At 49.6% G+C, this 22,078-nt stretch overlaps 1 long non-coding RNA gene across 1 annotated transcript, besides 2 other annotated features; it reads left to right on the top strand.

The window, feature by feature from the left end:
• The first annotated feature begins 576 nt into the window (after positions 1-576).
• LOC107985581 (uncharacterized) lies at positions 577-22,015 on the top strand. Its single transcript, XR_001755596.3, has 3 exons — positions 577-745; positions 21,152-21,197; positions 21,731-22,015. It is a non-coding gene; the product is annotated as an uncharacterized LOC107985581 (long non-coding RNA).
• Positions 4,159-4,360: a silencer, noted in NCBI's record as "fragment chr22:48580642-48580843 (GRCh37/hg19 assembly coordinates)". NCBI's record gives its function as "represses an EF-1alpha promoter that drives an FKBP-Casp9 reporter gene in an ReSE screen in phorbol 12-myristate 13-acetate-treated (for megakaryocytic differentiation) K562 erythroleukemia cells {active_cell/tissue: K562(+PMA)}" and the evidence as "EXISTENCE:reporter gene assay evidence [ECO:0000049][PMID:32094911]".
• Positions 21,671-21,871: a silencer, noted in NCBI's record as "peak4510 fragment used in MPRA reporter construct". NCBI's record gives its function as "represses an SCP1 promoter by STARR-seq MPRAs in K562 erythroleukemia cells {active_cell/tissue: K562}" and the evidence as "EXISTENCE:reporter gene assay evidence [ECO:0000049][PMID:32103011]".
• Positions 22,016-22,078: the final 63 nt, after the last annotated feature.

Here is a 22,078-nt window from a genome sequence, read left to right as displayed (position 1 = left end):
CACAATCTATTCTAGAAAACAGAAAAGGAAACATTTCCCAACTCATTTTATGAGGTTGGCATTTCCATGACACTGAAACTAGGCAAAGACAGTGGAAAAAAACAGACAAACATTAATACAGAACATCCCTCAGGAACAAAATGCATGAACACAGACATATTCCACAAAATAGGAACTAAATAAACCCGGCAATATATATAAAATGCAAATATATGAATGTTGTATATAAAAATATATACATATAAATATACATTTATGTTATATATTTGTATTATATACATATAAGCTATATTTACATAGAGATAAATAAACACGTATAATATACCACGACCAAGTTAAGTGTGTCCTGGGAATGAGAGGTATTTGATATTAACAAAATCAATGTACTGCGCCATATGACCAGGCTAATAAACAAATCACTGGTTTATATTACTTGAAGAGAACAGTTGACAAAATTTAACATAAACACTCTTCGGAAGGGAAACCACACATGCTCACCACACACGCGCACACACACATACACACACACACACACCACTTGCAGTTTCTGTGGGGCCCCAGAGAGAGTTTATCTTTCATTCCACTGTGCCCCAACCATGCTGAACAGAAGCAGCTGGCGGTCTGAATCCCTGCAGAAATGGTGTCAGAAGGACTGAGCCCCACCCGACATCAATGAGAATGCATAAGTGCTACAGGCTGGAACTAGGAAACACCCCACTTCCCCCACATAACTCCTTTGAAAGAGGTAAGTTGGCCCTCAGCTTACTCCCTCCCTGATGGCAGAGGTGTCCATTCAGATGCAATGAGTTAGGGGAGCTGAGAAGCCATCAGTGGGGCCCAGGGGGACCCAAGCTTCCACCCCACCCACTCGCAGTGAGTCAGTGTGAGTCATCTCTGCCTCTGCTGGGATGCTGAGGGATGGGAGGCAGAAGCTGGACATACACACCCACCTGGCTCGTGGGCTGGACGTCAACAGGGCACCTCCAGCTAAAATACATTTAGGATGCCAGTCCTTTGTTGTATATGTGATTTGCAAATATTTCGTCCAATGCTTCAGCTTGTTTTATCACCATTAACAGTTTTGTTCATAAAGCAAACATTTTTAATTTTGATGAGGTTCAGTGGATCATTTTTCCTCTGAGGGCTTGTGCTTTCGGGCTCACATCTAAGAGCTCTTTGCCCAGCCCCAGATCCCCCAAATTTTCTCTCGTATGTTTTTCAAAAAGCTTTATAATTTTCGGTTCTACCCTGAAACCAGCCAAGTAAGGTGGATGTGTTACGACCTCTTCCACTCGGGGAACAGTGTCCTAGTTCTTAGAGGATGTTTCTCACTTATTCTTGCTGTGGGTCAAGTGTGGAAGTTAACGCCAATGGCCTGTTTGAAACAGAGTGCTGAGGCCAGAGCCCTGCAACGTCCTTAAACCCGGGTCACCTCTCCAAGGTGCTCAACAGGGCAGAAGTCAATGAACAGAGATTTCAAGCACAGGAGGAGCGGGCAGGGGGCGGCACAGGCGGCAGACCTGAAGGCAGAGCCCTTGGAGTGAGCAGGCAGAATGGCCTCCTGGAGAGGTTTCCGTGGGGCCAGGCTGAGCGCTCTGATGGCCTTTGTTCCCTGGTGGCTGTGTTTACAAGGACTAAAATAGCACTGCCAAGGAGACAGGCCTCTGCAGACGGTGCAGAGAAAATGAGGCTGAAGCCATACAGCTCAAGCTGAGGCCTTTCTGACTCAAACATTTATCTCACCTCCTGCCACCTATCTTGAAAGCCCAGGGGACCATCGGTAATGCCCACAGCACAGTGGCTGTGCCCAGAAGCCTGGGGAGCCCATCGTCTCAGCAAAGATAAGGCAGAAACACAGCAAGGGATATCTAAGCCTGACTTTCCTGGAGGGGATGTAGTCTGGGGTTGGGAGGACACATCAGATTCACCCATGCTGCTTCCCTAGGCCTCACCCCATGGTTCCAGTGAGTGCCCACAGCGTAAAGGTTTTGTCAGGTGCTCCTAGGTGGTTCTTAAGCACTGCAAAGCTGTGAGCTGCCACTTTCATCAAATTCCAAATAGAGGGAGGGTGCTGCTTGGTAGAGGAAGGCTGTCCAAGCACATGCACGTAAGCCGTTGAGGTTAAGGATGGAGACGATATTAGATTCAAAAACAAGGCAAGGCCTGGGATAATTCCAGCACGATGACTGTTGTCGATTAAGTGAAAACTTAGAAGTTTGGCTTCTGACGCTTCCTGGATGGTTCTCCTCTTGAGAAGAGACTTTGATGTCCAAATGCATATTGCCTTTTTGGCTCCCTTTGAAATGGCAACCCCGATCACTGGGTTTTAAATCAACCCTATAATTACTGATGCTACACAACATCTCCCAAATAATTAGGGAGCAGTCCGGGAATCACCGGTTATGAGATGTAACCAGAGTTCCATGAGGCTTTTAATTTGAGGAGTTATAAATAATGTTAAATGCCCAGGAGTTTCAATTAAAAGATGTTTACTTGTGTAAAATGAGAAACGTGACAGGGGGAGCAGGCTCCTTGTTAGTGAGGACTTGAAAGAGGACTGCCGTTAGTGGGCCCAGCTGCCAAACACCGTGCGGAGGAGGTGTGGGTCTTCCCCTCTCTGGAAATCTTCAAAGACAGGGAGGAGGTTTCAAACATTTTCTGAGTCAAAAACTGGGACAAACACTCCAGTAGCTAAATCAATCTCCAACTGCCCCCTCACCTTCCGCTGGAAACTTTAAAGTTCCTGGAGACTGTTCCCCCGGCCCCCACCCCAGGTGTTACCTGTTGCCAGAGATGGGTTGGGTGGTCTCAAACTTGGCCTGGTTGTTCTCTGTGTCTTGAAGGCTCTTTGGTTCTCTCTTTTCCTGATGTGAGCCATGTACGTCTCCCCTCCTGCCTGGGCTCGTGGGGCCATGCTCTGTGTTGTAAGCACAGGGGCGGCCCTGTCCTTCTCCACCATGGCCTGAGTAGGGCCAATGCCAGGAACTGCATTCTCTAAAGGTGCAGGAAGCTGCCATGTGCGTGAGGTCTCTAGGGATTCAGTGGTCTGCGATATGCCAAAATATTCCCTCCAAGGAGATGGGCTAACTATTGCATCTGGTCACTGTAGCCATGAGGAGCCCAATCCATCGTGGGTGTGGAGTCTCAGGGTTTGGAGGCAAGCCATGCACCGTGGGCTCACTGCTCTGGCCTATTTGCCAAGAAATCAAAGGCTGCTAGTTTTGAGTGGTGCCCAGAAAAAGAGAAGGCTCTGCAACGGCTTGTGCTCCATGCAAGCTGCCCTGCCTCTGGATCTCTGAGAGGCTGCAGATTGGTGGCACTTGGGGTTTCTGTGGTTGAGAGGGCGTCTGTATAGGCCTAGGTGAACTTCAAGATTTTAGAGCAACACACGCCCTCTCCTGTTTTTTGAGAAATAGCTTCTGGCTTGCTGCTGGGCCCTAGTGGGGATTAAAAAAATCTAACTGTGAAACACCAAGCATGTTAGTTTCCTGTTGCTGCGGTGAAACAACACACATTGATTCTCTTTACAGTTCTGAGGTCAAATGTCCACAGTGGGCCTCACTGGGATACAAGCAGGGCGTGGGTGGGGCTGGGGTTCCTTCTGGAGGCTCCTGGGAGAAACCGTTTTCTTGCCTTTTCCACCTTTTGGAGTCACCCACACTCCACAGTTCATGGCCCATCATCATCCCTGAACTCTGCTTACAGCCTCACGTCTCCATCTCTGGCTCTGACTCTCCCGTCTGCCTCTCCCCCATGGGGACACTGACATGGCATTGTTCCTTGGTGACCCAGGCACTCCTCTGGTGGGAAGGCATTGGGCTGGACCACTGCCATCCCAGAGGGAGCAGCGGTTTATCCTCGGTGGTGGCGGGGTCATTTTCTCTGGACACAGCTCTGCGTTTCTTGCCTCTGTCCAGACCTCCGTCTGCAGCCATGCTGGGGCCTCGCCCTCTGCTGTGCCTTTCACATGGCATCACCTCTGCGGCAGCATGTTCCAGGGATGCAGGAACAATGGACCACAACAGAATGGCTCGTACAGCCGAGATGTCTTCCCTCAAGTTCTGGAGGCTAAACATCCAACATGGCAGTGTCGGCAGGGCAGGACCACGCTCCCTCTGAAACCTCCAGGGCCAGGAGCCTTCCTTCCCTCCTCCAGCTTCTGGTGGCCCCAGACATCCCTTGGCTTGTGGCAGCTTCACTCCAATCCCCACATGGCCTTCTCCCTGTGTCTCTTCACGTTGTCTTCCCTCCGTGCATGTCTTCGTGTCTAAATTTCCCCTTTTTATAATGACTCTGGTCCTATGGACCAGGGCCCAGCCTAACGACCTCATCCTAACTTGACTATGTCTGCAGATCAGGTTGCATTCACAGGTACTGAAGTTTAGGACATCAACATATTGTTTTTAAGGGACACATTTCAACCCATACCACCTAATGCCCAGTAAACGATGCTATTTCTCCCATAGCTAAGAAATCCATGGGTTTGGGGATGAGGAAAGTGACTGGGAGAGGTTTCTTTTCCCATGACCTCAGATCATACATGAGCAAAACATGTGCATTTTGTCCTCCTGATTCTGGGCTCTGTAGGCTTAATGGTTTCAGCTCCCAAGGAAGATGTGTGTACCAGGGAGACAGCAAAGGCCCATTGACCTGGAAGCTGAGCCTGGCCATCCAGCGCCTTTGGTTCCTCCATGCCTCTGACCCCATAGGCAGTGGGGGGCTCTTGTGCTGGCTGGGATGACTGCTCCTGACCAAGAGGAGGCCCAGAGGCCGCCATGGGGGCAGGAAGGAGTGTACCCGAAGCCCAGGGTCCTGCAGCGCACTGTGGGGCCCTGGGTCCACTGGAAGTGTTAGTGGACAACTATATACAACCAACTGGGGCAAGGCCACTAACGACCCAGGCCCTTTGGAGATAAAGGTTTAGGTCCCTTCACCTTGCACAGATCTACAGCTAGTTGAGGACCCAGGTGAAGGCAGAGAGGACATGGGTTAATGGAAGAAAGAAGGTATGAAAACCTACGGTGTTAAATAACCAGGTGCAGAAACAAGGCTCACAGGAGCGAACCCTGCCGTGGAAGAGAAGACGCCCACTCACCTGTGATTCAAACATTGCTTTGTTTCCCCTGCTTCCCGCCTTTCTTGGCACCCAATGTAAGGTACTGTCATGGTGTTGACCCTACACATCAGGATTTAATTACAGAATGTCAGAGAAGGGCTGTGTCAGAACCCAAGAAATAACCTCCCCTAAAGATAGACACTGTGGGTTTTGTTGTCTCCCTCTTCAGAGACTGAGTGTGAATTTGGAGTCATAGGTTCAGCTGTGTCTTGTGGGACCTAAGTTTGAAATGCTCTCCCCTCTACCTGGATGTTCAGGGCAGGCAAAGGGGTGGCCCAGGCACTCAGATGACCAAGTAGTGGTCACTGCCAGGCGCCCGACGGTCACTCCATCACCACCGTCTTTCCTCTCCAAGGGACAACAGACTGCAGGAGCTATGCCTCCCAGAATCACCTCCCCTGTGGGTGAGGATTTGGTGATGATCTGGATGCCTGTGAGGCTGGAGGAAGAGGAGCAGGACCGTGACTCTCAGAGGAGCCACAGCCCTGCATACAGGCAGGTGTGGGACCCACAGTTTCTCCATGGGCACGTGGACACTCTCCTTGCTTTTTTCACTTCCAGGGGAGCGTTGAGGCAACACCCACCATACCCTTGGGCTGCAGGGCGCAGCTCTCCTGAACTCTGCGGTGACATTCCTGAGCCATGTTCCTTCGGCTTCCCAATGTCCATGTGAGTCCCCAGTCACCTCTCAGTTTCCCATGGAGGGACCTGGTTTCCTGACCAGCCCTGCGTGGACACCACCCCTTTCACTGTGCACCCCCCTGCTACAGAGAGGACCCTCTCTGGTTTGTCTTTGCTGTGTGTTTCTGCCTCCTCTGAGCTTCTGGAAGTCAGGGCCTACACTCCACACATCTCTGGGTGACTGGTGTCTCCGGTGAGGCCACCCAGGCGCAGTGGGTGGATGCTGGGCGGTGCTCGCCTTATGTGATCTGATCTGCCCCTCCCAGGGCCTTGAGGCCACACTGCTCAGATTTCGCCTGCCACAGAGGAGGCTTCTGGGCTGACTGAAAGCCACCCTGACAGGGAGAGAAGACACAGAGGATCCTGGGACCCCGCCTTGGGACGGGCAGCCTGCAGCACCTTCCCGTAGCCGCTGTCATGAAGTGCCACCATTGAGTGGTTGAAGCACCAGAAAGCGATTGTCTCACGGTTTGGAGGCTGGACGTTCAACACAAAGGCGTGGTTCCCGGGGAAAATGCTCCCCAGCTCCTGGGCATGGGGGTGCCTGCATTCTCTGGAACCCTTGGCTCATAGTCGCTTCACTCCGGTCTCTGCCACTGGCTTCACCTGGCCGTCGTTCCTGCGTCTTCTCTGTTTAAATTTCTCTCTTCTAAGGATGTCAGTCGCTGGATTAGGGCTCATCCTCCTCCACTAGGACCTTTTCTTGACTCCACTTCATCTCCGCAGACCCTATTTTTAAATAAGGTCACATGGCAGGTACTAGGGCTTTGAACTTGAGCTTATCTTTTTGGGAGACGCAGCTCAACCCGTAACACCTTCCACAGCCGTGACTGTTGATCTAAGTCTTGACAATGGAGCAGGGTTTATCCAGGTGGGCAGTGCAGAAAGGGGGCCTCGAGTTACAGCATGGGCACACACGCATCCTGGGGCAGCTGCCAGGACACGCACAGAGGGCTGGAGCAGAGTGCAGGAGATGGGCTCCTGGCTCTGTACTGGGCACACAGCAATGGGCAAACTGCCGTCCTGGCTCAGACATGCTCAGAAATAGCTCCATGAGCCACGGCAGGTGCTACTCTGGAGCTGGCTCAAAGGAAAGAAGAGATCTACAGAAGTGGGCCTTGGCTCTGTAGGGAGAGAGGCCTGGCGGTGGGAGGTTTCACAGGGTCAATGAGGCCTGACCTGGGACTTGGGGAATGGCAGGGCCTCCTCAGGCAAAGACACGGGGGAGGACTTAGAACAACTCTCCACTACTAAAATCCAGACCCAGTGTCTCCTCAATGTCTCACATTGAGGCCTGCAGGTCTCACATGGAACCGGCCTTCAAGAGGCCTGGCCTGGGTGGGAGCTGGGAGGGTAGGGAAGTTCTGGGAGTTATGTATCCCTGAAACTCCCAGGGCCTGGGGGAGGCCCCAGGTGGGGAACTGGAGATTCTCCCTGAGCCATGGATTAGGGGTTCAGATTTTAGGGGTGTTGATGAAGGTCTTGGGGAATCCACTGAGGATTTTAGAGAAAGGAAGACCATGATTAGATTCAAATGCCAGAAAGGTCTTGTTGGCCTTCAGTGAAGGCGTCAACAGGAAGGGACTGGAGGCCGGCAGATCACGGAGGAGGCAGCTGCAGGGGCCAGGCAGGGCTCTGGAGGCCTGGTCTTAGGCTGGCTGGGGCAGGGCAGGACAGGTGAGAATGGCTTCTCCCTCCCCTGCCCTCCTCCCTGTGCTTTGGTTTGGCTTTGATCTCTCTGTAAACTCATCACAAGAAAGAGCCCTTCTAACTCCCCATGAAGCTTTTCTGTGCTCTAAAGGCAGCGCAGGCTCACTCAGGATAGAAATGATGATGGATAATAGACTCCGAGAGCTGCTTTGGACGCGAAGGAGTGAAGAAGTGGATGTCACAATCAGTAGCTCGCTGGCAATTCAGACAGAAAAAACACCAGATGAGATTACTGTGGGAGATACTTCAGACAGACTTAATACATCAATGCATCTCCACACGCGCGTGCTGCCGCGCTTCCCACCAAGACGGGCGGCCGCTGTGCTGCCTGGCAGCCGGGCTCATCGCCACCAGACCCACAAGGCCTGGCCAGCCAGAAAGCTGAATTCTTGCTGCTGACTTTCCTGTCTTGTTATTTTCTTCACCAGCCAACAAAATAATTATCTGAGCAGCAGTTGCCAGAAATTGTGAGTTATACGGGGAATCATACATGAGGACAGTGTCATTTTAAATCATAGAGAAGCTAAGCTAGAAATAAACTTGTAAATGATTTAGTCTGAGATGCTTATTTCCCAGAAAGGGAAACTGAGTCTCAGAGGAAGGAATAGCTTGCCCCAAACCACATACTGTGTTTGTGGGTCACCTGATCCAGTGATTGACACACTTTGCTGTTTATTGGAATCACTCAGGGACCTTAAAAAATCCTGGTTCCCAGGGCACACCCCAGAGCAATCAATTCCCCAGCTCTAGGAGTGGATTCAGCCATATGTATTTTGAAGATCTTCCCAGATGATGTCACGGGTGAGCCAGGGCATTGACTCATTTGAGCTCAGCACCCTGCCCTGCATCTGAGGCTCAGGAAGGCCTGGGTTGTCCTAGCTCCAGGGCAAGGGCATCAGCTGGCTTCCTGTCCGTGGAGAGGCCACAGCCCCAGAAGCCCACATGGATGGTCCCCCTGCCCCTCCCCAAAGATGCATCCACCGCATCGCAGCTGCCCAAACCTTTCACCAAATGGCTTTGCTTTGTTTCCCCTGCTTCTGGGTGACAAGAAGCACAAAGTTAGAAATAGTTACGATGCTGGGATGTGTGTGGCTCTCTGAGGCTGTCAGAACCAGTCTTGTCAAAAGCCCTCATGTTGACAGCCTGAATTCTGCCCCCCATGCCAGCTGTGTTCATGGCAGCCCGAGGGAGGAGGGTCTGGGAGGGAGGCCCCCTTCTTCTTCAGCTGGGGGCTTCCCTGGTTCCGGGGGTGCTAGGCTGGTCCTCCCTAGTTTCTCACTTACACCCACGCCCTGAATGCTGCCTTGGTTCCCTAGCTCCCGGGCCTGGGGGCGGCATGGTTACAAGCTTCTCCTGTGTGGGTGCCAGGGCTGTGTTCAGTGCTCACTGTCCACGTGGAAAGTGCTGACGCTGGAGAAACAGGGTCTGGGCCTCTGAGGACTGTGGCGAGAAGCGAGTGGAGGAGTGGGAAGGGGTGTCCCTCTGAAGGGTCCCGTGGCACACATGCACTTGTTTGCTGGGCCCCTCCCACCACCCCCACCCTGGGCACTGGCACTGTGGCCTACATCTCTGAGGAGACTGGAAAGTCTGGCCCAGATGCCCTTTGCCACCAATGACCCTGAACAATGAACTGAAACCGGCAATTTGCCTCAATTTCCTCATCTGCAAAGTAGGGATAAGAAGAGTGCCTCCTGTGTGCCACTTTGAGGTTTGGGTGCGAATTTTGTAAAGCATTTATTACAGTGTTTGGAGGACAGTGAGTGCTGTATGTGTGCTGAGTAAAAATAAATAAATCCAGTCTACCCATGAGCTTTGACAAGCCCTCTCCCGGCACTATGCTAATTTCTCTCCTGACTGTGCTGTCGGTGACATGGCCTTCCCTAGCCAGGAGCCCCGTGGTGCCTTGCTACCTCTTCTTGAAGGATGGGAGCTCCTTTCCCTTCTCTATCCTGGTGCTGAGGAGTTGCTCAGCCCAGTGTGTTTGTTGATGGACTCATCAGGTGACCTCTATTTTCAGTGCATTGTAGCTTATGGTGTATGGAGACTGATTTGAGCTGGAAACTGGAGATGCTAGGTTAGAATTCTCTGTCCATTGCTGTCTGATATTGGGAAATTGCATCTTGACACCTCTGGAGCTGTTTTGTCTTGTCTGCAATGGAGAAGGACAATGGCACTGCTTCTGGATATTGACTTTGGCAGTGTCATCGGACTGTGCTGTAGTCTGTTAGATTTTGTGTGGCCTGGTCTGCTAGAATTCAAGCCAGCAGATTTGTATTTAAATCTTGCCACAAACTCAACGTGTGACCTTAGGCAAGTCTGCCAACTCCGCAAGTCTCAGAATCCTCCTCCGAAAAGAGGAGAATAATGAGCTGTGTATCGCATGTATCATGTAGGAAGGACAGTCACACCTTCCTAGCAATGGGCCAAGGCTTCTCTCTAACACAGTGCACTACTCCCAAAATCTGACTCACCGTTTGCAATCAGTCCATTGGTAGAGATTCTCATCACTAATTTTGGGCCTTGGTATGTTGAGCCCATGGGCCAATTCTGAGCCCATGTGTTATCCCATGGTAGAGTATAGAATCTGAGAAGCTACCCAGATCTTTTGGGAAATAATGAGCTGTGTATCACATGGCCACGGTGCAGATTCCCCACATAGGGAAAGCCCACAGATACATAGGGAACCTTCCTCAGGTGAGACGCCATGGGTAATAAGGTTTGGAAGAAGCGTGACGCTACTTAAAGGCAGGGTGGAGAAAACCACCTGTGTTCAGGGACATCCACCAGAGGCCCACCTGGAGATGACCTCAGCCTCAGGAAGGTCCTGCCCTGTGAAAACTGCAGGCAGAGTTGTGGAGGGAGAAGGGGCAGCAGCTCTCACACCTGGAAGCGAAGGCGGAGGAGTGAGGAGCAGCTGCTAGACACAGCAGAGACGAGACATGGAGGCAGGGGTGGAACCCCTTGTCCTGTGACCAAGGGGGAGGCTGGAGGAGCACACTCAACAGCAGGACCTTCCTATGGAGGGAGAAGCCCTGGGGGTGTGCAGGCCCCAGGGCTCATCGTGTCGCCGTTGGAACTATTAGGTGATGCAGAGTCTCCTCCACAGGGGAAGGAGTCACCGGCAGGGGGGCTCAACCATCACAGAGCAGTTGCCAAAAGAAGACCAAAGTCTGTAAACCCTTCAGGAGACCTTGCACTTTCTTAGGCCATGTCCAGAGAACACTAGCTGGCCCCTGTCCTTGCTAAGCTCCTTTGGTAGCGTATCTGGCAAAGGGCATTTTCTTCAGTGCTGGTTCTGGGGGAAACTCTCACAATGTCTCCCTCCCACAATCCAAACACGATGCTCCGTGGAATGGGTCAATTTCTGAGTTCTTGCATAAAACCAACTTTATTCCCAGGAAGAAAATTTTAGAAATTTTGCATCTCATTAGAAAATCTGATGCTCAAACAAAATAGGAAAAAAATATATCTTGTAGGGATGCAAAGAGAGTTCTCAGGATAACTATTCCAGGGAGGATGGAAGCAGAGGGCTGATCCAAATCTGTCATAGCAGTGGTAACAGCAAAGGGCCCCAGCCTTAAGAGCAGTCACAAAACAACACCAGGCGCTCGACGCAGCATTCAACAGGGGTGAAGCTGACCTGGGAATTGGGTCAGGTGCAAGACGGGAAGACAAGGTTTGGAAGGAGACAATTCCTGTCTTACAATGCCTCTGACAGGCTGACATGTGCAAAGGGAACAGGTCTATTCTGCGTGGCCATAGGGATTGGAACAAGACAGATGGAAGGAAATTACAGGGTAACAGATGTGGATTCAGAAAGAGGAAAAATTGTCAGAGCTGCCCAACTGTGGCGAGGAACCACATCGAACATTTGTTAAGCAAGTAGGCTGTGCCAGGCACTGGGCTAAGTACTTTGCATGCGTGAATTAGCTTGATTGATCTTCAGAACACTTTCTAAGGTAGATGTTGTTGTTGAGGGATGAAGGCATAGAAAACTTGTGCAACATGAGTTCACTTGGTAAGTCACAATTCCAGGATCCTGACCCTGACCAACTTTCTGCAGTGGATGTTCCTGGTAACCATTGCAGTCCATCAACCCTCTGGGAAATGTCTCATGCTTAGAGGACTTCTGGCAGAGGCAGGATGGAGTCCTCTTTGTCCTCTTCCTTGCATGGGCCACAGATCTGGGTAGCTTCTCAGATTCTATACTCTACCATGGGATAGCACATGGGCTCAGAATTGGCCCATGGGCTCAACATACTAAGGCCCAAAATTAGTGATGAGAATCTCCACCGACAGATTGATTGCAAAAGGTGAGTCAGATTTTAGAAACAGTGCATTGTGTTAGGGAGAAGGCCTGGCCCATTACTAGGAAGGTGTGGCTGTCCTTCCTACAGGATGACAAAACCTCCCCAAATTGGCTCAGCCATGGAAAGCATGAGGCAAAGCAGGGTAGAAGGACTCAGAAACTCCCCATGTTATGCTCTTTGTTCTTGTGTATTCAGTATCCCACAGAGAGTTTTTGGGCTTCAACCACGTGCAGAGTACTAAGAAATATGAAGTTGAGCAGAAGTAGCCACGTTCCTACTCTAAAAGGGAGTCTGATATCAAAGAAGTAATTATGTTGATTAATTATGAATGACACACAAAGATAGGAGTTTTTAAGGTAAAAGCATGGTTCAGTGAGAGTGCAATAAAGAAATGTAATGTGGGGAGGTCAAGGAAGGGTTCTGCGTGGAGAGAACGCTTGAGCTGGCATCTGGAGGCTTCATGGGTGCACAGAACAGACTGGCGGGGAGTGGGGCTAGATACTGCTTGTAGGGGATGAACCTGGTGCATGAGGGCTGTAGCGGGGATGCTGAGAAGTTGTATTAGTCTGTTTTCATGCTGCTGATAAAGACACACCCAAGACTGGGCAATTTACAAAAGAAAGAGGTTCCACTTGGTTGGGGAGGCCTCACAATCATGGTGGAAGGCAAGGAGGAGTAAGTCACACCTTACGCGGATGGTGGCAGGCAAAAAAATGAGAGAGTTTTGCAGGGAAACTCCCGTTTTTAAAACCATCAGATCTGGTAAGACTCATTCACTCTCATGAGAACAGCAAGAGAAAGACCTGCTCCCATAATCCAATCATCTCACACCAGGTGCCTCCCACAGCACATAGGAATTACAGGAGCTACAAGATTAGATTTGGGTGGGGACACAGAGCCAAGTCATACCACAGGCTGAATGCTGGGACATCAGAGTGGGTGAGGGCAAGCGGGCTGAGGGGTTTGTAGGGTGATTTCCTAGTAGGATATGGACAGGATGATGCCATTTTCTAAGGAGAATGGGAAGCCACCATAGAGTGTGCATGTGTGTGTGTTTGTGTGTGTGTCTATGTACACATGCATGTGTGCACATGAACATAGACCAGATCTGCATTTAGAAAAGTTTACTCTGAGCAGATTATTAAAAATGAATTGGAGAGAGTTTCTAGTGGCTGCGGAGACACCAGTGAGGAAGATACAATTGTAATTCCAGGCAAGTAAGGCAGGATAGATGGGTCACTTCAGCAGCAAACTCCAAAAGACTAGGCTTATTTCTTGCCCACTCTAGGCCTATGCATGCCAGGTGGTCTTCCTCCACTTTGCAGCTGAGCTGGGTGCCCCATTGTCCTCCAGGGAGGTAGAAACAAAGGAATGCACTGGCTTTCGGCTGCCTCTGTCTAGAGCAACCCTCATCCTTTATGCTGTCCCATCATTGGCCAAAATGAGTCACATGACCTCACCCTAACTGCAAAGGAGCCTGGGAAGAGCAGGCAAGTGGCTGGATGTGGGGTGAGTGCTGTCATTCATCCCCAAGTAGGAGGCTGTGCACAGTGACAGTGATGAGAAGGGCCCCTATCCAAGACCTTTTTAGAGGGAAGCTCTGAGGGGTGCGAGAAGAGGTCAGAAGTGACTGAAGTTTTGGGCTTTGGACATGGAATGGATGGTGATGGTGCCAGGCTGGGTGAGGACTGGGGCCATGGGCATTGCCAAATAGTTCTTGGGTCAGGTCAACACACCCTTGAGTCATCCTAGGGAAAATGTCCAGCTGGGTCTATGGACTTCAGGGTCAGAGGAGTGGTCTTTAAGGAAAATTCTTGAACTACTCATTGGACGTATTTTCTGGCTGTCCATCTCTTCCATTATTTTCTTGTTTGCTCTTCAGCCAGCTTTGTTACACAGTGGTATTCTCTGTGAAAGTGTCCACTTTTTTGAGGTCATTCCTAATGCTGCTTTTGGTGGCTTCTGCCTTTTTCTGATTTCTCTTGTCTAATATTGTTACCTTTGCGAAGCTCCAACTTTAGCTTTACTCAACCTCTTGTGTAGTCTTGTCTTTGGTTTTTTAGAATGTGCGTGCATGCTTGCCTTGGCTTCCCCCACTTTCTTTCTGACCCTCCATTGTTTTTTTCTATAGTTAGGTGGGATGCAGCAGAACCCAGGATGCCTCTGGGACTCAGTTTTCAGTAGGGTCCTCGGTGTTGGTGTCAAGGTGATTTGCTCAGACGTGGAGGGATCCCCGGGTCTGCAGAGGTTTGATTTATAGAGAAGAGAAGGGAAAGGAATTGGAGTAGATTGTACTGGACACTATTCACATGGCCACTCCAGGTGGTCATACATCTGACCACTGCACTCCCAGCCTGAAGATGTTGGGGTGTCAGGGCACCCAGCAGGCAGGAGCAGCCTCAGCAGCTCAGATCCCCGTGAATCATCCCTGGCCCTGCTTTCGGGAGCTGACTCCATGAGGAGGCGGCCTCTTGTTCAAGAAGTAGCCATGCTCCTGTGGTTTAATATTCTTTTAATGTGTCTTTTATGGCTGCTGCTTTCCGTCTTTTGGGTTTAGGAGCTGCCACGCCACAGTTAGAGAAATCAGACAATAATTGTCTCAGACTCCCATTGTTGTGGAATAATTCATCTCTCGCTGCCTTCTAGAAATGCCAACGCAGTGTAATGCTAGCGGAAGGTGTGCTCCTGTGCAGAACCCAGCTCCCACACCCAGCTGGGGCTTCCCCAGAGAGGCTGTCAGTGGTGTAGGAGGCAGCCTGGGTTCAGCTCTGGAGACCCCATCCACACCTTGGACGATCTGAGGACAACCCATGGAATCTCTCCCCAGGAAAATACACCTGTGCAGGTGCTTACAGTTTTGTATGACATTCGGGGCTCTCATGGCTTCTGCTCCTGAAGCTTATGTAGGGCCCCAGGTTAAGAACTCCTTCTTTGGAGCAAAAAGTAGTATAAAAATTCAGAATAGTTCTCAGGGGTCTTTGCTACTGCTCAGGGGTCAGGAGCATTCCTGGCTCTGCCTAGGGATTCATATGTGTGGGAAGAATGCTGATGATATATCTAGAACATAGAGCCCTGCTCTATGAAACAGCTGCATATACTTAGGAGGAAGTGGCTGTGTGTGTGTGTGTGTGTTATTTTTAATTTCTATGATTATAAATTTGAAAATCATGCATGACTCTAGCCACCAGTAAGAGCGGATTTGGAACCACTGCTTCCTATCTATATTCTGAAATGGGGTCCTCTCACCTATTTCTCTAATGTCTTCCCCAGCAGCCCCTTGCCCCTTTATTCCTCCACTACCTAGAATTATGGGCCCACGGTGCACGTCCCTAATAGATGCTGCCTCATAGGACTCCATGACTGCGCCCTGCCTTTTCAAACAAATTAGGAGAAGCCCAAGGGGTTTGCCTCTTGCTTTGATAGACGAGGCAGCAAAAGCCCAATTAAGTCATTCTGTCCTCTGGGCACCTGCTCTCAAGACAGCAAGAAGGCTTGCTCTTTCTTCTGTCCCACCAAATCGTGTCAGTCCAGTATCCTTTGATTAAATGGTGATCACCTCGACTCCCTGCAGCCCCCAAATATAAACTAGTCGAGGGCTGCAGACCCTGTGCACACAGGCAGCGGGGAAGAGAGCTGGTTCATGCACTAAATTGAAACACACAGAGAGAAGTGCTGAAGTGAAGGGGCCCCTCCCATCCTTGGATTGGCAGATCTGGGAGTCCATCCAGGGCAGGGCGGACTGGACTTGGAGCCATCACACCCCTCTCCCTCCAGCCGGCATATGCTCCTGGAAAAGATGCCACCAGCACCGCCCCACAAGCTGCAGACGTGGGAGCCCTGATGTGGCCTATTTATTATTTATTCAACTTTGACACCACATTAAGCAACCTCCTGAGGGAAGTGCAATTGGATTCACATGAATTAAAGCACACACAGGGGCGAGACCACATTTTGGCAGCTCCTAAAATGACAGAGTGACGTCGCAGTGTAAGCAGAGGCCGGCTTCCAAATGAAACATAAAGAAGCTCTTCTATAAAAAGCGAGAACTCGGCGAAACCTCGGCCAGTCAGAAGGAGAGGCCTCTGCAGACACGGAGCACACGTGTGTTATCAAGCGGGGCTGAGGAGTCTTCAGCTGAACCGTGCACCTGAAGATGCCCATGACTCCATGATCAGATAGAAACTATTGAGCTTGGCACCTGGGGCTCTGGAAATCCAGACACTAAGTTGTGATCCTGGCACCACTTCCCTGGAAACCCGTATCTGGACATGCCCACATCCTTCCGGCTTTGTGCCTCTTGTCTGGATTTCTTGGGACAGACACAGCAAAGCCTCACGTGTTCTGAGAAGTGACCTGGCCTTCCACTGACATTCTGTGAGTCCACCCTGGGTGTCTAAGCATTATTCAACTTATCCTATGGCATTTTTGGCTTTTGTCTGTTTGATCTCTTTTTAATATGAATTTGAGATCCATGTACACAGAAAATGATTTACAACATAGGTCACTGCAGGCATTTTTGGTCCATGATACAAACATTGAAGGTTGATGGCCGAACCCTCACAGCCCCCTTTGACATCTGCAGGTGTCACCCACAAACACTGAGAGCCACCCCCCCCTCTCCTGAGGCTGTTCCTGTCCCACCCAGCATGCACACCCTCACAGGCCTCCCTACCCTGCTGCCTGATCCTAACTTCCCCCAGCGCACTGAATGTCTGTGATTTACAACCTGGTGACACATTCTGAAAGGTTATACCTGTTATTCTTTTCATTTAATGCAGGAACTGTGTCTGTGGTCAGAGTAAAATCTGAAGGATATAAAGGGATGAAAGGTATTTAATCAAAAGGACCTGTTGCTAGGTGGGCTGGCAGGCAGAGGGTTTTGAAGGCTTGGGGAGAGAAAACTTAAAGCTGAGGTCTGGTGCCCTAGGCTTGCCGTGTTGAAGCATGATAAGAACCTGCTTGGGTTTTGATGGAATCTGGTATCATGATCAGATAAAGTTGCTCTGGGTGCAAGGCCATAGCCTACAGGAGCATGAGGCTCCAGCCTCCAAGAAGAAGTATAGCTGGGGCCGGGGCAGAGAACTAAAATTGGGTGCTGAGAGCTCAAACTAATTAAACCAACTATTTAAGCCTCTACTGTTTGCCTAAAGCTGTGCTAAGGTTTGTGGAAGATAAATAAAAGAAAAAGATATCACTCATAGCCTAATGGAGATTGATATTTGGATAAGGCATCTCTATATAAAGTAATCAAAGAAAGTTATTACAGAAGTTTAGGGAGGAAAGAGAGTGTTATCTTTTCATTGTAAAGGCAGGGGATCAACTCTAAATGGTTCCTAAAGCCCAGAAAGATTAAATAATTGACTCAATAATTAAGCATTGATTTAGTGTTGAAGTGACCAGAATGAGTGAAATTAACTAAAGGTGTCATGGTCAGGGAAGAGGCTTTGCAGAAATGGAAGGAAACAGCCCTCAATGAAGAGGACATGGAGTAGAAAATTCTAGAGTCCCTAACAAGCACACAGGAGAAAAGGCAAGGCCAAGGTCTTACTGCCTCAGCCAGTGAAAACACAAGCTGCTTTTAGATCCAGAGATTTATTCCTGACATAGATGCTGAAAGGAAGAGGAGCCTAAGGTGCCATCCTTGCCTCACAGGAAGCAAAAGGGCCACACAGAAGCAAAAGGGCCATGAGTGCAACAGAGCTGGGGCTCGCCCTCTGCCGAGGACTTGAATCCAGGCTGCAGCCAGACAGGTCTACCATCTGTGGCTCCATTCCCAAGAGGGCAAGGCAGGAAGCCCCACACATCACCAGAATCGAGAGGGCAGGAGGATCTGCATCCTACGAGCCCCCAGGGCAGACAGGGAGGGGAGGTGCATGGCAAATGCCTAGAGGCAGCTCCTCACCATGCTGGCACCCTCTTCCAGGAGGGTCAGGAGGCCTTCTCACCTGACGCAGGTTAGCTGTGGTTGGGCCCTTGCCAGCTTGGCCTGTGTGGGTGCTTGCAGAGCCACCACAGTACCACGGAGAGCTCCTGCTCTGCAAGACTGCAGAGGCAGCAGCCAGAGGGGCAGGACATTTGCTGGCATGAGGAGAACGTTGGTGGCTTCTATGTTCTAGATAGTATCCTGCACAGGAAATAAGTTCTCATTTTGGATTTTGGGGAAACTTCAGGCAGCTGTAGGTTGATCTTTACTGATCATCCATGTTAATATGGCTCAAGGACCCTTCTGAAATGGATCCTTTTCAGAGTTACATGAGGTGAGGAATGCAGGCTTTCAGATCCCTGAACCCCTGGCCTCCTGTAACTGGGCTGAGTGGCATCCATGCACCAGGCTCTATCTGATGCACTGGCATTAAATCACATTTATCTTCAAAATAAACTTCTGGTTTGTAGAGGAGAAAGCCAGGGACACATGCTTCTCCCCAACCCCTCCCAAACCCAGCGCCTACCCAGGTAGAAGAACAGATTAACTTAGTGTGAAAAAGAATGAAGAGAAGGAGAGAGGGATGATAGAAGCCTGGGTGAGTGATTGGAGGACAGGCAGAGAGATGGATGGATGGATGGATGGATGGATGGATGGATGGATGGGGGAGTGAATGAATAAATGGATGTATACATGGGTGAATGCATAGATTAATGGATGGATGGATGGATAGATGGATGGAAGGATAGGTGGGTAGGCAGGTGGATTGGTGGGTGGGAAGATGGATGGATGGACAGGTGGGTGGTTGGGTGGGTGAGTAGATGGATGGATGAATGGATGGTTGGGTGGAGAAATAAATGGATAAATCAACTGATGAGTGGGTGAATAAACAGATGGATGGACAGATGGACAGATGGATGGATGCATGGATGGATGGATGGATGGATGGGGGAGTGAGTGAATAAATGGATGTATACATGGGCGAATGCATAGATTAACGAATGGATGGGTGAATGGATGGATGAGTGGATGGATGGATAGATGAATGGGTGAGTGAATGGGCGGATGGATGGATGGATTAATGGATAAATGGACAGACTGGTGGGTGGACTGATGAATGGACAGATGGGTGAATGGATGGGTGGGCGGATGAATGAATGGATGGAAAGAGGGAGGAAAGGAGGGAACTACAGATGGGTGGATGAAGGCAAGCGGGAGGTCTGTGGGTGGATGGACAGATGGGTGGACAGATGGAGGGACAAATGAACTGCCACCATCCAGTGGAGACAGTGACAGAGGAAATTATTCCAAGTGCAGATCACAGAGCTGTGAAGTCACTATGTCTTCAATGTGGAGGAGGATCCTGAGGCCCATAAGTTCTCACTTCTTATTTTATAAAGAAAAAAAGAATGTCCCCTCTTACTTAGGTGAAGCTTTATGTGAATTATATGCCAGAGTGAGTTTTAGAAAAAACACAGAGCAGAGAACCTGGCTCCCCACTGCAGCAGGGAAAGTGGGGCTGCTCCCTGATGGGACACTTTCCCACCTCTCCTCAAAGTCCAAGATTCAGGAGGTTGCTTTACCTGCTTGAGTAACCCTAATAAGTAACAGTGACTCCTTGGTAAAGAGTAGCTGCCAAATAAGTGTCAGTTGAGTGACTAAGTGAGTAATTAAACGATGCCCCTCACAAGCTGACCCCAGCTCTCCCAACACACCCCCTCCACACTTCTGTGGGCTGCACAGCTGCACTGACCACCAGCTCTCAAGTGTGCCAGTATTCTGGACAAGAATAGGAAACACTGGGTATAGCGGGTAAGTAGGGGATGGTGGAGAGGCTCGATTCCCAATGTGATCTCCTTCCTGTTCCCTCAGTGGTTCAACAAAGGCAGACCCAGCAGCATTTGCTCCTTGATCATCTGGAATACTGACAACACCCTGGGCACTGGGAGGGGTGCTGAGCTTCCCCTGACATGGGACCTGGGCCCCAGGAGGTGTGATGAAATGGCACTGCCTGGACCTGCAGACGCAAGTTTCCACAGCCCCGCCTGAGGCTCTGTCCTCACCCCTCCCCTTCATCTATTCTGTCCCCTCCTCCTTCTTCCTCCCTGTCTCTGTTTCTTTGAGTAAGCTTGTTTCTTCAGCAACCCCAGGGACCAATGCTGCAGCAGAGCAAACAGACCTTAGGCATAAATCCTGTGCATTGTAAACACGATGGTAAACAACACAAATCATTTGACCCGTATGAGTTTTTGCCTCAGGTGTATGTGTGTGTGCCTGTGAATAGCAATGTGAAATTTCAACCATGCAGACACAGGAGTGCATGCCTGCACACACACACGCACGCACACACACATGCACACAGCATTATATTGAATTCCCAAAAAGCAATTAATGAAATATAATACTGGGGCTATTTCTGCACAATGGACTTCATGGAATGAAACAAACACGTTTTAATACCTGGCAGGTGTAGAGCATTGCTCCGTCTTCCACTCTTCTGCCAGGTCTCTCCAACCTCCATTTCAGTCCACATTTCCAGTTCTCAACAACTTGCCAGTAAAGTCCAGCCCCACCAGGACCACTGTCAATCCAGGTTCATCCCCGGAACAAGTGCCTGCCCCAGAGTCCTCCAGATCCCAAAGGTCTCTGTGGCCAACTAGTATTGTATTTCTTTGATGCCAAGGAACACTGTCCTCTCCATCCCCCAAAATATATATTGATTAGGATTTGCCATAAAATGCTTTCTCAGGAATGTTATGTGAATGAATAAAGCATCTTATATTAATACTTGAGGCAAAGCAACTCAGAAATGTGAGATAGCATGGTTTGGGCGAGAAGATAAAACCTTTCTCCAGTGACAAACCAATAAATAAGAGTATCCCAAAAGCAGTCAGGCCATCATATTTGTCCAATGGTAGGATGACTGAGCCCTCTTGCCTCTCCCACTAGTGTGCATGGATGGTGCCCTGGATTTGTGCACCATCCACTGCTTAGGGATGACCTCCCCAGGGTTGTAAACCTTGAGCATCCCTGACAACTGGAAAACACTTACCTCTGGTCTCTTCTTCCAATTTTATTACCACATAGTCTTCGAGACACACACATACAACTGAGACCATGCAGCTCATCCAGCCCATCTGAAATTTGATTGCATTTGTTGTAACCTCTAAGGGCTGCAAGGACAGGGAGGCTCCAGGGAAGAGGTTGTGACAGGAGTCGATGAGTCCTCCTAGGCCTGAATGCCTGAGTGTGGGCTTTCCAAATTGAGTTCTCACTGGCACATCAGGCTGTGCAAAAGGTGTAAGGATGTAAGTACTCTCGTCTTAAGGACTTTAGGGTATCTTGCAGCAAGCATTTATTTCCTCAAGAAATAGTGGTGTCTTCTAATCACACTGTTGATGTTATTTTCAGTGGCTGAAGTTTTCAACTCAAGATGGTCACCCTGCTTATCACACAGGTTTGTTAAATTCTAATCTGTGCTGGATTCCAGTTCAACAAATATTTTTGAGTACATATAGAAGCTAGGAACTGTAGCTGGGCATAGTGGCTCACACCTGTAATCCCAGCAGTTTGGGAGGACGAGGCAGGTAAATCACCTAAGGTCGTAAGTTCGAGACCAGCCTGACCAATATGGTGAAACCCCATCTCTACTAAAAATACAAAAATCAGCCAGGTGTGGTGATGCACATCTGTAATCCAAGCCACTTGGGAGGCTGAGACAGGAGAGTTAATTCAACCCGGGAGGCAGAAGTTGCAGTGAGCCAAAATAGAGAAGGACGTGCACATTGAATGTTGGAGGCATAAGGCCCAGCCCGCGGAATTACAACTTAGACCAAGAAATCGTGGGGAAATTATCAAATAGCACTCATTAAATTCAGATTCTCTCAGACCTATTTTATTTTAGAACACAGGGTTAATAGAAAGAAGGTGATAAAAGCTGCACTTGGAGTGAAATATTTGAAAACCACTGGTTTTAACGTTTTCTTGCAGAACCAGATGCTTCAGCACCTTGGAGAGCTCCACAAGACCCACAGACCCGGGCCCCCCAACCACAAGAAATATAATAAAATACTGCTTTGAGACTCAATTTCAGCACTTAGCTACATAAATAAAAGTTCCAGGAAGACTAAATCTTAGAACCAACAGGGAGATGAGCACTTCCAGAGTTTCATCAGCTTCCAAATGATATTTAAATATGAGAACGTGAGGCCTGGCTGGGCCTGTGGTGAAATCTCCATAACAGCATCCTTGTAATAAATGCTGAAATTCATGCAACCATGGCCTGCCCCCTTCACGGATCGCAATTCATAATTGTTGCTGATTGTCACAAACCATAGG

This window comes from Homo sapiens, chromosome 22, assembly GCF_000001405.40.
Source record: "Homo sapiens chromosome 22, GRCh38.p14 Primary Assembly".
Lineage (NCBI taxonomy): Eukaryota > Metazoa > Chordata > Mammalia > Primates > Hominidae > Homo > Homo sapiens.
Note: the sequence above shows the minus strand (reverse complement) of the source record. Positions and strands in the feature narration are given on the sequence as shown.